The 13,970-nt window shown below is 39.0% G+C and overlaps 1 protein-coding gene and 1 long non-coding RNA gene across 11 annotated transcripts in view, besides 2 other annotated features; one reads left to right on the forward strand and one right to left on the reverse strand.

The window, feature by feature from the left end:
• Positions 1-13,958, forward strand: part of LOC124900968 (uncharacterized) — a 27,017-nt gene extending 13,059 nt beyond the window's left edge. Inside the window, exons 2-3 of one of the 2 annotated variants that reach the window (XR_007058747.1) lie at positions 5,280-5,534; positions 13,877-13,958. This is a non-coding gene — a long non-coding RNA (uncharacterized LOC124900968). Of the gene's footprint in view, positions 1-5,279; positions 6,480-13,876 lie in introns of those variants that run through there. The other variant, XR_007058746.1, reaches the window with a different exon arrangement.
• Positions 1-13,970, reverse strand: part of PRKAA1 (protein kinase AMP-activated catalytic subunit alpha 1) — a 38,986-nt gene that overhangs the window by 16,687 nt on the left and 8,329 nt on the right. For 6 of the 9 annotated variants that reach the window (NM_006251.6, NM_206907.4, NM_001355029.2 and 3 more), the window contains exon 2: positions 1,370-1,511. In NM_006251.6, coding sequence (NP_006242.5) covers positions 1,370-1,511 — 142 coding nt within the window. Of the gene's footprint in view, positions 1-1,369; positions 1,512-3,957; positions 4,264-13,970 lie in introns of those variants that run through there. The other 3 variants (NM_001355028.2, XM_017009624.2, NM_001355036.2) reach the window with 2 other exon arrangements.
• Positions 8,309-8,453: an enhancer, noted in NCBI's record as "145 bp enhancer 12 fragment used in the MPRA reporter construct; PK_construct_421". NCBI's record gives its function as "activates an SV40 promoter by MPRA in HepG2 cells {active_cell/tissue: HepG2}" and the evidence as "EXISTENCE:reporter gene assay evidence [ECO:0000049][PMID:23512712]".
• Positions 8,374-8,387: a transcriptional cis regulatory region, noted in NCBI's record as "HNF1 motif; enhancer activity is reduced when this motif is scrambled". NCBI's record gives its function as "necessary for full MPRA enhancer 12 activity {active_cell/tissue: HepG2}" and the evidence as "EXISTENCE:site-directed mutagenesis evidence [ECO:0005528][PMID:23512712]".

Raw genomic sequence — 13,970 nt, forward strand, 5'->3', positions numbered from 1 at the left:
AAAACTATGGCAGCAATGTGAAGAATTAACTGTCAACAGTAAAGGTAGCCACAGGAGGTTACTTCAGGATTTCATGAGACAGATGGTGGCTGAGACCAGGTTGACAGCAATAAAGGAACTGAGAAGCAATCAAATCCTAGCTTGATTGTGAAGGAAGAAATGAAATGCATGGTAGAAAGTGAAAGAAACAGGGAAGTTAAAAATGGTTCCTAAGTTTTAGCCCTGGGTCATTGGCTGTTAGCCAAGATGGTGAAAACTGTGGGAAGAGCAGGTTTGGGAGAGTAATAAAGAGTTCATTTTGGGCCGGGTTGAGTTTTAAATGTCTTGCGAACATCCAAATGGAAATGTAAAGTCAGCAGTGAGCAAATAAGTCTGGTGTAAGAAGAGATCTTAAAGCAAGAGATGTACATTTAGGGGTGGTCAGCATATGGATGGTATTTAAAACCTAGCACTCAACAAATGAGAAGAGGTAAGAGTGAAACAAGTTTGAGTCAGCCAGTTCAGGAGAAAAACCTAAGCATCTTTAAGTTATTGCCTGCATAACAAAGCAGAAGCTGAGCAGGAAATAGTTATTTGTAGACTCTATAACTGGCAACTGTAAAACAACAGTAAGATTACTGCCCTTTTGAAACCTTGGATTCCTGAAATTTTGTTATCTATATGTTCAGGTATAAGCAGGATGGGGAAAAACCCTTTCTACTACCGCATTCTCACTAGTGAGGCTAACTGACATCATGTGGGCATTTGGAGGTCAAGAGTTTTTACTAGCAGATCACTGTTGGTTTTACAGCAATGGGGCACCAAACATTACCAGAAGAGCATCTTTCCAGGAGACAGGAAAGAATGAGAAGATAACAGCTGATAAGCACAAGGGCAAAACATGAACACAGGCTTAAATGACCATCAATGGGGTTAGAAAAATACATGAATGGGAAGAAACTTTTATTTTTTTTTGGGACAGAGTTTCGCTTTTGTTGCCCAAGCTGGAGTGCAATGGCACGATCTCAGCTCACTGCAACCTCCGCCTCCCAGGTTCAAGCCATTCTCCTGCCTTAGCCTCCCGAGTAGCTGGTATTACAGGCGCCCACCACCATGCCCAGCTAATTTTTGTATTTTTACTGGAGACAGGGTTTCACCATGTTGGCCAGGCTGGTCTCGAACTCCTGACCTCAGGTGATCCGCCTGCCTCAGCCTCCCAAAGTACTGGAATTACAGGTGTGAGCCACCGCACACAGCCTAGGAAGAAACTTTTCAAAACCCTTAGGAAACAAAAAGAAGTGTCAGTCATTTTTCTCACTTGTCACATTAAGTAGGTTAACAAAAAAGATGAAAAGATGACTGGACTATATTTAATATAAACAGAGCTTACAGTTTAATTATATGAGGATGCCTGAAAAGCTTGAGGTTCTGAATTTCTCTGCGGATTTTTCCTACCACATCAAGGCTCCGAATCTTCTGTCGATTGAGTATCTTCACAGCTACTTTATGCCCAGTCAATTCATGTTTGCCAACTGTAAAAGAAGTAATTTAATAAATTAGTACTAAGTATGATTAATAATATATTTACACATATTCTGGCCCGGTGCAGTGGCTCATGCCTGTAATCCCAGCACTTTGGGAGGCCGAGGCGAGTAGATCACTTGAGGTCAGGAGTTCGAAACCAATCTGGCCAACATGGCAAAACCCCATCTCTACTAAAAAATACAAAAATTAATGGCCGGGAGCGGTGGCTCATGCCTGTAATCCCAGCACTTTGGGAGGCCGAGGCGGGCAGATCACCTGAGATCAGGAGTTCGAGACCAGCCCGGCTAACATGGTGAAACCCCGTTTCTACTAAAAATACAAAAAATTGGCGAGGCGTGCTGGTACACAGCTGTAATCCCAGCTACTCGGGAGGCTGAGGCAGGAGAATCGCTTGAACCCAGGAGGCGGAGGTTGCAGTGAGCCGAGATCACACCACTGCACTCCAGCTTGGGCAACAAGAGCAAAACTCTGTCTCAAACAAACAAACAAATACAAAAATTAGCTGGGTGCAGTGGTGGCACATGCCTGTAATCCCAGCTACTTGGGAGGTGAAGCAGGAGAATCACTTGAACCTGGGAGGCAGAGGTTGCAGTGAGCCCAGATTGCACCACTGCACTCCAGTCTGGGGTGATGATTGAGACTCTGCCTCAACAAAATAAAAATAATAATATATTTAGACATATTATAAGAGTAGTCATCTAGCATCCTCAGAAAATAGCTAAGCAAATATAAGTTATTTTCTCTTTTGCCAGATTCATCCCAAATGTTCAGATGTTTAAGAGTGATTACATAGGAGAATACATAAGAAATTGGTAACAGTGGTTTCTTCCAGAAGAGAAAGCTAGAAGACTAAAGGAAGAGGGGAAGGAGACTTTTTTGCTGTATACCTTTTCGTATTTTTAAATTCTTTTAATTTTTCACCTTTTAACCTATCATACACACAGACTAAAATTTTTCTTTTAGTATCATTTATATGGATATTAAAACATATAGAAATTGGTGTAACCAGCATTATATAGTCAGATACAGAACAGTTCCATCATCCCAAAAGACTCTCTCATGTCATAGATACATTTCCCCATCCATAACCTCTTATACCTTTGAAATTCTGGTTCATGTGCATGTGGTTTCTAGTTTTTTTGGTTTCTCTGTGTTTTAAATTTTTTTTCCTGTTTTTTAATTTTTTTTTTTTTTTTTTTTTTTTTGAGACAGGGTGTCACTCTATCACCCAGGGTGGAGTGCCGTGTCACAATCAGAGCTCACTGCAGCGTTAACCTCCCCAGGCTCAGGTGATCAGGTGATCCTCCCATCTCAGCCTCCCAAGTAGCTGGGACTACAGGCAGGCCCCACCACACCCAGATAATTTTTTTGTATTTTTCTGTAGAAATGATGTTTTACCATATTGACCAGGATGGTCTCAAACTCCTCAGTTCAAGCAATCCACCAGCCTCAACTTCCCAAAGTGCTAGGATTATAGGTGTGAGCCACCATGCCCAGCCTCTATTTTTTTAAATGCAGTTAAAAATAAAGGGAAAAAAAAAATCAAGTCATTTTATCTTTCCATTTTAAATGTTATCACTAGACAGTCGGTGGTGACAGAATTTGGGTTTAGGACATAATCCCAAAAGACACAATCCCAAATGCCATAATCCCAAATGTTGAAATCCCAAAAGATCAAAATCCCTAAAATCTAAAATTCCAAAAATCACAATCCCAAAAGAACAAAATCCAAAAAATTGAATTCTGGAAAAATAATTTGTAAAAAGTTCTCTAAAAGACACTTATTTCCATTTTTAAAAGATTTATTTGAGAAACATAAAAACACAACGGAACAGTTCATAGGCCCCTTTACACAATAAAATAGGCACTAATAACATATTTTTGCAAGCATAAATACTCAGGTATACTAACAACCATTGCATGGGTATAATAGGAACAGAGAAAATGTATTCATGAAGAAATAGATTAAAAAGCAAAATGGATAAACACGTATCACTATGGTTGGTAATCAGGTGCACCCAGATTCATAACTGCGGTCATCTGAAATACCAGACAACCTGAATCTTCTGACAAGATCGATCAAAAACTGCAATGGGTCACTACCGTTTGCACAAAAACTGCAATAGAGTCACCCAAAGAGCCAAGATCTTGAGAAATTTTATCTTTCACAAATACAGATGAACAAAACGGACATCTCTTCATTTACTGAGCAAGTTTCAACATTTTTATGTACATGCACAATGCTTACACATTACGTCACATTGTGATAATGCACTTTCATGGAGTCAAATATGCAAAAAAAAAGTGCATAAAATGAATTAGAATTCTCTAAAAGCCTTTACAGAATTTATACCTGCAGTATTAGAAATGATGCAAAGATAAAATACATAGCATAGCAAATTGGCACTATGTGTGAAAGGGCAGAAGTCATACCTGATTGAATAATTTGGCAGGGGAGCTTTCTTATATTTTTCACCTGCATATTCACTTCTATGATCTTCAAAACATTCACTTGTGTTTAGACTAGAGCGGTTGTGGTCTAAATATTTTGTAAGTATATGCTGACCATTTAGAAATCTGGTTATTGCTTGGCCATTGCAATTAAGTGATTTTCTGTCTTCACAACACCAATAATAATTAGCTTTTAAACTTTTCTCTTTCAGCATTAAGTAGCCTGGTATACTTAATTTATCACAGCCTTTTTGCAAGGGAACAATTTCACAGGTCTCTTCCACTGTGCTGTAAGGAATACAGTAAGAAGGAATGATATTTGGCTTTCTCAATACCAAATCCGTATTAGTCAGCATTCTCGACAGACATAATTCTCGACAGACAGCATTCTTGAGAGACATAACCAATAAGATATATATATACATAGATATATGAGAGACGATTTATTAGGGGAATTGGCTCATGCGATTATAGTGGCTGATAAGTTCCAGGACAGGTCATTTTCAAGCTGGAGACCCTGGCATGCTGGTAGCTTGGCTCAGTCCAAAGACCTCAGAACCAAGCCAAACCAGGTCTCAGTCTGAGGCTGAAAGCCCAGGACCCAGGGGGCTGCTGGTGTATGTCCTAGAGTCCAAATGCCAACAAGCCTGGAGTTCTGATGTTCAATTCAGCAGAAGAAAAGTCCGTTCCAGCTCTCAGAAAGGCAACAATTTGTTTTCTCTGGGCCCCCAGCAGATTTAATGGTGGCCACCGCTATTGAGGGCAGATCTTCCCCACCTAGTCCACTCAGACTCACATACTAATCTCCTCACAGACAAACCCAAAATAATGCTTTAACAAGTTTCTAGGTATTTCTTAATCCAGTCAAGTTGACACCTAAAATTAAATCCATGAATCCACCCCTCGTCAATTTGGCACCCATAAACCATCTCCTTAAACCATACTTAATTTCCAAATAAATACAATAAAAAGGCAATCGGTTCCACCTAATATGATGCAAGTAAAATGATGCAACTATCTTTCATACAACCGAATGTGCACTAATTTCTACCCCAGGTGTTGGCTTTCAGCATTTCAACATTTGGGATTTTAATCTTTCATGATTCTGATTTTCAGGATTTCAGATGTGTGAGATTTTTAGAATTTAGGGATTCTGATTTTTAGAGATTTTGATCTTTCAGTATTTCAACATTTGGGATTATGGCATTAGGGATTTGGTCTTTTGGGGATATGATCACCAGTAGAATTTAGACAGTCATGAGGCTAAGTCTCCAAAAATTTAACCTTTGTGCACCCTTTCTCAGGAACCTACTGGAGAATATATATTCCATCAAAATCAGGAAGAAACCCAAGAAAGATGGCATGGAATCCAGCAAAGAAGGGATCCAATATAGGAGAAAAACTAAGAGAATCTCAAAATGGTGAAGCAAAGTCACAGTAACATATGGAGAAGGCCTAGAAGGCAACAAATCCAGACAGGAATGTGACAGAGAATCCAAGATAGTTATTTCTGAGGGATTTTACAAAGGCACTGGAAGATGTAAGAAATTAAGCTTTAGGTAAAAAAATTAAACAAATGAAAAAAATGAGATAATTCATGAATGCCAGTAAAATTAAAGTTCTGTAAGAAATAAAACATAGTCATAGATACTGACTTAGCAAATAGTATTTACACAGCCACAATTATGAAAAAACCAAATATAGGTTTTATTAAAAGTACGATATAACTATATTAGGAGGATGGGGGTGTAGTATGAAATGTATAAGAGAAAGAAGGAAGGCAACCCTATAATCACAGCTGAAATCAACTGTGGAAATGAAGCACATTCTAATTTCTAATAAGGCTTTCTCCAATCTCCAGTACTAATTAGATGTGATTAAGAGCAGCCAACTTGACTGTTAAAGCTTGCTTCAGGAAGTATCTTTTTTCTTAGAACAAGTATGTTGAAACCTAAGCATGGTGCTAAACACATCCTCCAAGAATCTCCAAGCTCTGGCTTGGCACAGACTTTCTCTTGACAGCTGCTCAGCTGAAACAGGACTGGGAAATAGCCACAATACTGGATAATACTGGTGGACTCAAGACCTGGAAAGAATACTAAGACAGAATCCAATTTGGGCCTGAACTCCCAAACCATCACAAACCAACCAAACTCCTATGATACCCTGCTCAACTGAACTTCAACCCCAATTAACTTTAAGAAATGACTGGAGCTTATCCAAAACTCTGGACATATATCCTGTCATTTAATAAGGAACTGGAATAGGAATTCAAAGCATTCTCTCAAATTCATTATTTTGGCATTATGTACTGAGCATCTCCTACATGCCAGTTAATGCTGCTGGGGAAAACAGTATTGACCAAAAGCAACCTGGGCTATGGGACCTTCCCGGCCTGTAATGATGACAAAAATAACAGTAAAGTGAGAAAAAGCAAAAAGTCTTATAATACAAAAGAATAAAACAAAAAAATGAATAGACATTAAACTCATCCATGAAATGCATGATTGTATTAGCAAAATTTATTAACTATTTTCAGAGTGATAAGAAAATATAGGAGGTATGAAATTAGAGCAGAGCAAGAAGAATTTTACAATACAATTAAAATCATTTAGAAAACAGTAGGTAGTAGCAATAATAATGTGATGGGAAATTTTATAGAACACACAACAAAAAATGAGGAGGAAATTAGCAAAAATAGGAGGGAAGGTGGTAACTACGGAATAGGGAATTGAGTATAATTTAACTCATGAGTAATACGGAGCAGAATATTAATCCACCTGTAAATAACAGAAGCCCCCCAACCACCCAAAAGAAGGCATAATAAGCAGAACAAAATCCATAACCAATCAAGATATACCATAAAACTTTTTTCTAATACTTGAGCATTTCATCAAATTATAAATTAATTGTTTTAAAGTATGGTGGTATAACTTCTTCCCTTTTGAAGTAATAGAAGAAATCACAAAAGTATGATCGTATCACAGTGGCAGGAATAGAGGCAGTGCCCTGACAGCCATGCCAAGAGATCATTCAAATTCATAAACACACACACAAATTACATGATCAGGATCTTTTCTTTTTTAATCTGTAGTTTTCCTTCTAAGAATTTGATTTAAAAGTTGATGAAAAAAATGTGCATAAATATGTTCATTACAGTGTATTATGTAAGAACAAAAGGCTGACCAATTTCAGAGAACAGTTTAATACATTGTTATTCCAACCTAACAGACTCTCATAGGAAAACTATAGAAAATGTTCTTACAAACATAAAAAAAAATTATATATGCATTTTACATTTTTTAGCTACACAAAAAAATCATATAAAAATGTTAATATGCTAAAATGAAAAGTTATTCCACTGTGATCCTTTTTGAATTTTACTTGCTGCTTTGTATTCTTATCAGTTAGAAAAAAAATTTCCAAGGCCGAGTGCGGTGGCTCAAGCCTGTAATCCCAGCACTTTGGAGGACGAGGTGGGTGGATCACAAGGTCAGGAGTTCGAGACCAGTTTGGCCAACATGCTGAAACCCCATCTCTACTAAAAATACAAAAAAAATTAACCAGGCGTGTTGGCACGCACCTGTAATCCCAGCTACTTAGGAGGCTGAGGCAGGAGAATCGCTTGAACCCGAGAGGCGGAGGTTACAGTGAGCGGAGATCATGCCACTGCACTCCAGCCTGGGCAACAGAGCGAGACTCCATCTCAAAAAAAAAAATTTCCAAAGGGGAAAAAAACAATTGGAAGTAGTATTAGCAGATTCACCTTTTTTGGAAGTAGAGTTGAATAGGGTTGAACCCCTAATTCCAATTGCACATGTGAAAGCAGTATGTATACAAAGCATAGATTTTATAGTCGCACAGACCTCGGTTTTATTCCTGTTTGAAGGTACTTACTAGATGTTTGACTTGGGCAAGTTAAAGAAACTACAACCTTCTATTTACTCATCTTTAAAATAAGAATACCACATACTCCATAAGGGTGACTATAACAGATACATGGAATAGTGTTTGTAAAGCACTTTCCACAATGCCTGGCATATAGCAAGTGATTGATAAATAAATGGTAGCCTTTATTATTTAGGGTTATTTATTTTCCACTGCTCCCAGACCTGTTCCCCCATCTGTATCTAATCAGCCCTGAATTATTTGTTTTAATCTCTGAATAGCCAGTTTTATCTCAGCTCTGATTGGTGATACCTATCCATGTAGATGCAATAGCATTCCTTTATCCAGGTACATAAGTGCTAAATAAATAATAGCTGTCATTTTAATGTATCTAGCTCCCATTCCCATATACTTCAATCCCTCCAACCCGCTCCACCACTCCTACCCCACCACCACTACCACCAATCCTCAGATTTCTACCTTCCAAAGTTCAACTCATTTCCTGACTTTGGTTAATGTTCAACAGATTACTATCAGACATATATACACATAACACCAATCCTTGACAGTGATTTCACCTACTACAGGAACACTTGTTTGGTCACAGAAGAACACAGAGGAAAAAAGCAGCTTAATTTGATGTGAGTTTTAATAAACAAGGGCTCTTTTTTTAACAAAAACAATTTTTTACAACATAAATCTAGTTCCTTTACAATACATAATTAAAGTATACAACTTACTAGTTAATATTTGCAGCATACTCACTTTGTACCCAAACATACTGACACACTCTCACCAACCTGGAAGACTTGGCATTATTAGCAACATTTTACAGGAAACTGAGGCACAGAAAGATGAAATAACTTGCCCAAAGTTACACAGCTAATGAGTGGAAAAGCCAAAACTTCAACCCAGGTCAGACTCTTAAAGTTATGCTTTTTCCGAACATGGTTAAGTGAAATTTGATTTTTTTAAAAAGATAATCCTCAGAAGACATGTAAAAATACACATCCTTTTAATAAAACATAAATGGAAGTTAAACATATCAGAGAAATTCTTAATGTATATACAGTTTTGAAAAGAATAGACTGAATTCCTTGTAGTAATAAGAATTATCCAGAAATGCATTCAATCATACAAATTCATTCATTCAAGAAATATTTGAGTACCAGCACCTACTATGTGCCAGGCACTGCTACTATGACCTCCTTCCTGTATCAGAACATGAATCCAGTGTACTGAAAACCTGCCTCATATCAATTTCAATGTCTTAGGATTCCACAGACATTTTATTTTATTTTATTTATTTTTTATTTTTGAGACGGAGTTTTGCTCTTGTTGCCCAGGCTGGAGTGCAATGGCATGATCTCAGCTCACTGCAACCTCCGCCTCCTGGGTTCAAGCGATTCTCCTACCTCAGCCTCCCAAGTAGCTGGGATTACAGGCACCTACCACCTCGCCCGGCTAATTTTTGTATGTTTAGTAGAGATGGGGTTTCACCATGTTGGTCAGGCTGGTCTTGAACTCCTGACCGCAGGTGATCCGCCCCCCCTCGGCCTCCCAAAGTGCTGGGATTACAGGCATTAACCAACCACGCCCAGCCCACAGACATTTTACTAATACATTCTATCAAACCAATTTAAAAGTTACTCAAAAACTAAGAAAGAAAGCATAAAACTAAAAGTATACAAAATATAAAAACAAGTGTAGTGAAGTGAATAACGTCCCCACAAAATCTATGTCAACCCAGAATCTCTGATTGTTATCTTATTTGGAAATAGGATCTTTTCAGACGTGACTAGTGAAGGATTTGAAGATGAAATCTTACTGGATTTAGGGTGAGCCCTATATCTAATGCCTGGTATCCTTACAAGAAGAGGAGAGCACACACACACACACACAGAGAGAGAGAGAGAGAGAGAGAGAGAGAGAGAGAGAGAGCAAGCGAGCGCAGCCATTTGAAGACAGAGGCAGAGACTGGAGTTATGCTATCACAAACCAAGGAACATCAGGAGCCACAAGAAGGTGAAAGAGGGCTGGGCACGGTGGCTCACGCCTGTAATCCCAGCACTTTGGGAGGCCGAGGCGGGGAGATCACCTGAGGTCAGGAGTTCGAGACCAGCCTGGCCAACATGGCGAAACTCCATCTCTACTAAAAATAGAAAAATTAGCCAGGAGTGGTGGAACACACCTATAGTCCCAGCTACTTGAGAGACTGAGGCAGGAGAATCACTTGAACCCAGGAGGCGGAGGTTGCAGTGAGCTGAGATCATGCCACTGCACTCTATTCTGGGTGACAGAGTGAGACTCCGTCTCAAAAAAAAAAAAAAAAGCAGCAGCAGCTGGAAGAGGCAAGGAACAGATTCTCCACTAGAGCCTTCAGAAGAAACATGGCCCTGATGGCCCTTTGATTTCAAATTTCTCACCTCCAGTACTGGCAAAGAATAATTTTCTGTTGCTGTAAGTCATTGAGTCTGTGGCATTGTTACGGCAGCCCTAGAAATGGATATAGTTAGTTTATCAGTTGAAAAGTGGATTTTCTAAAGAAGTACCAAACAGTAATCATAGAGCTGAGGAATAGTATAACTGAACTGAAAAATTCAATAAAGGGGTTCAACCACAGGCTACATCAAGCAGAAGAAAAGATTAGTAATTAGAAGACAGGCCACTGGAAATCATACAATCTGAAGAAGAAAAAAGGATAAAGAATGAAAAACAGTGGTCAGGCATGGTGGCTCACGCCTGTAATCCCAGCACCTTGGGAGGCCGAGGCAGGCAGAGCACTTGAGGTTAGGAGTTCAAAACTGGCCTGGCCAACATGGTGAAACCCTGTCTCTACTAAAAATACAAAAAAAAAAAAAAAAAAAAAAAAAAGCTGCCAGTGGTGGTGCACGCCTGTAATCCTAGCTACTTGGGAGGCTGAGTGGAAGGATCACTTGAACAGAGCAGGCAGAGGTTGCAGTGAGCCAAGATCTCACCACTGCACTCTGGCCTAGGCAACAAAGTGAGACTTTGTCTCAAACAAACAAAAAGAAACAGAAAAAGAAATGGTAAAGAAACTTCTTCAAGCTGAATAAAGAAGACACTAATGAGTGACAGGAAAACATGAAAAGTATAAAACTCACTGGAAAAAGTAAGTATACTGTCAACCCCAAAACACACTAATACTGTAATGGTGGTAAGTAAATGAATTATATATCTAGTATAAAGGTTAAAAGATAAAACTATTAAAAATAGTTAAAGCTAGCCAGGCGCGGTGGCTCACACCTGTAATCCTAGCACTTTGGGAGGCCGAAGCGGGCATATCACCTGAGGTTGGGAGTTTGAGACCAGCCTGACCAACATGGAGAAACCCCGTCTCTACTAAAAATACAAAATTAGCCGGGCGTGGTGGCGCATGCCTGTAATCCCAGCTACTCACGAGGCTGAGGCAGGAGAATAGCTTGAACCCAGGAGGTGGAGGTTGGGGTGAGCCAAGATCACGCCACTGCACTCCAGTCCCGGCAACAAGAGTGAAACTCCATCTCAAAATAATAATAATAATAATAATAATAATAAAGCTACAATAATTTGTTAAAGATACAAATTATTTTTTAAATGTATATCGTGACATCATGAACATAAAACATGGAAGAGGGGGAGTAAAAATGTAGAATGTGTGTATGTGATCAAAGTTAACTTGTTATCAGCTTATATACCAGTTATAAGATGTTTTGTGTAAGCCACAGGGTAACTACAAAGCAAAAGCCTTTGCTTTTGCAAAAGATAAAAAGAAAAAATCCAAAGTGGACCACTACAGAAAGCAATCGAGCCACAAAGGGGGAAAGTAATAGAGAAAGGGACAAAGGTTCTACAGAAACACTAGAAAACAATTAACAAAATGGCACTACTAAGTCCTTACCTATCAATAATTACTTCCAATGTAAACAGATTAAATTCTCCAAACAACAGGCATAGAGTGGCTAAATGGATAAAAAACAAGATCCAACTCTGCGCTGCCTATAAAGAGACTCACTTCACCATAAAGGACACTCATAGACTGAAAATGAAGGGACTGAAAAAGATATTCCATACAAATGCAAACAAAAAGAGAACAGAGATAGCTATATTTATTTCAGACAAAATAGACTTTAGGTCCAAAGAGAACAAAGCTGGAGGCATCACACTACCATGTTTGAAAATATATTACAAACCTATAGTAATTAAAACAGCACGGCACTGACATAAAAACAGACATGTCCACCAATGGAATAGGATGGATAGCCCAGAATAAATGCATATATCTATAATCAATGGATTTTTGACAAAGGTGCCAAGACTACACAATGTGGAAAGGACAGTCTCTTCAATAATGTCATTTGGAAAACTGGATAGCCACATACAGAAGAATGGAAATGGACCCTTATCTCACCCCTTAACAAGTATCAACTTAAAATGGATTAAATTTAGGACCTGAAATTACAAATCTACTAGAAGAAAACTTAGGCGAGAAGCTCCATGACACAGGTTTGGGCAATCATTTCTTGTATATGATCCCCTAATGCACAGGCAACAAAAGCAATAATAAACAAATGGGATGACATCAAACTAAAAAGCTTCTGAACAGCAAAAAACAAACAAACAGGCCAGACGCGTAATCCCAACACTTTGGCAGGCCGAGGCAGGCGGATCACAAGGTCAGGAGTTCGAGACCAGCCTGACCAACATGGTGAAGCCCTATCTCTACTAAAAATACAAAATTAGCTGAGCGTAGTGGTGCACACCTGTAGTCCCAGCTACTCATGAGGCTGAGGCAAAAGAATCGCTTGAACCCGGGAGGCGGACGCTGCAGTGAGCCAAGATCACGCCATTGCACTCCAGCCTGGGTGACAGAGGGAGACTGCATCTCAAAAAAACAAACAAACAAGCAAAAACAAATAGAGTGAAGAGACAACCCAAAGACTGAGAAAACGTATTTACAAATCATGCATCAGATATATAGCTAATATCCGGCCAGGCATGGTGGCTCATGCCTGTAATCTCAGCACTTTGGGAGGCCGACGCGGGTGGATCACTTGAGCCCAAGAATACAAGACCAGTCTAAGCAACACAGTGAGACCTTGTCTCTATAAAACATACATAAATTAGCCAGGCGTGGTGGTGTATGCCTGTAGTCCCAGCTACTTGGGAGGCAGAGGTGGGAGGATCGCTTGAGCCCAGGAGGTCAAGGCTGCAGTGAGCCATGATCATGCCACTGCACTCCAGCCTGGGCAACAGAGTGAGACACTGTCTCAAAAATAAAAATAAAAAAAAAGACAAACAAATGGCCAACAGATAGATGAAAGAATGCTGAACATCTCTAATCATAAGAGAAATGCAAATTAAAGCCACAATAAGGTATCACCTCACACCTGTTAGACTGGCTATTATCAAAAAGGTGAAAGATAAGTGTTAGCAAGGTCACAGAGAAATGGAACACTTATACACTGCTGGTGAAACTATAAATACAGCCATTTTGTAAAACAGTGTAGAGGTTCCTCACAAAACTAAAAATAGAATTACTATATGATCCAGCAATCCCATTACTGAGTATATATCCAAAGGAATTGAAATCAGTATGTCAGAGGTGTCTGAGACTCACTTATATTTGGAATCTAAAAAAGTCAAACTCACAGAAGTAGAGAGTAGAATGGTGATTACCAGTAGCTGGGGTAAGTGGGGCTGGAGGGGAAAAGGAAGATATTGGTCAATGGCTACATAAAATTACAGTCAGGAGGAACAGGATCCTGGTGTTGTATTGCATAGCATCATGATTACAGTAAATATATTAATTTTTCAAAAGAGTTAAAAAAGGGAACTTTAAATGTTCTCACCACAAAGAAATGATAAATATTTGAGGAGATGGATATACTACTTGGCCTGATTTGATCAGTGCAGAATGTATACATGTATCAAAACATCACATTGTGCCCCATAAATATATACAATTGTTATTTATTAAAGATAGATTTTCTTTTTTATTTACTTATGGTAGGAATGGCCTTCATTGGTTGCAATAGGAAGCGAAAGAGGAGACCTGAAATCAAATGAAAAAGCGTAAGCATCCTGGGGAGAAGCCCACTGGATCT

Source organism: Homo sapiens, chromosome 5 (assembly GCF_000001405.40).
Source record: "Homo sapiens chromosome 5, GRCh38.p14 Primary Assembly".
NCBI lineage: Eukaryota > Metazoa > Chordata > Mammalia > Primates > Hominidae > Homo > Homo sapiens.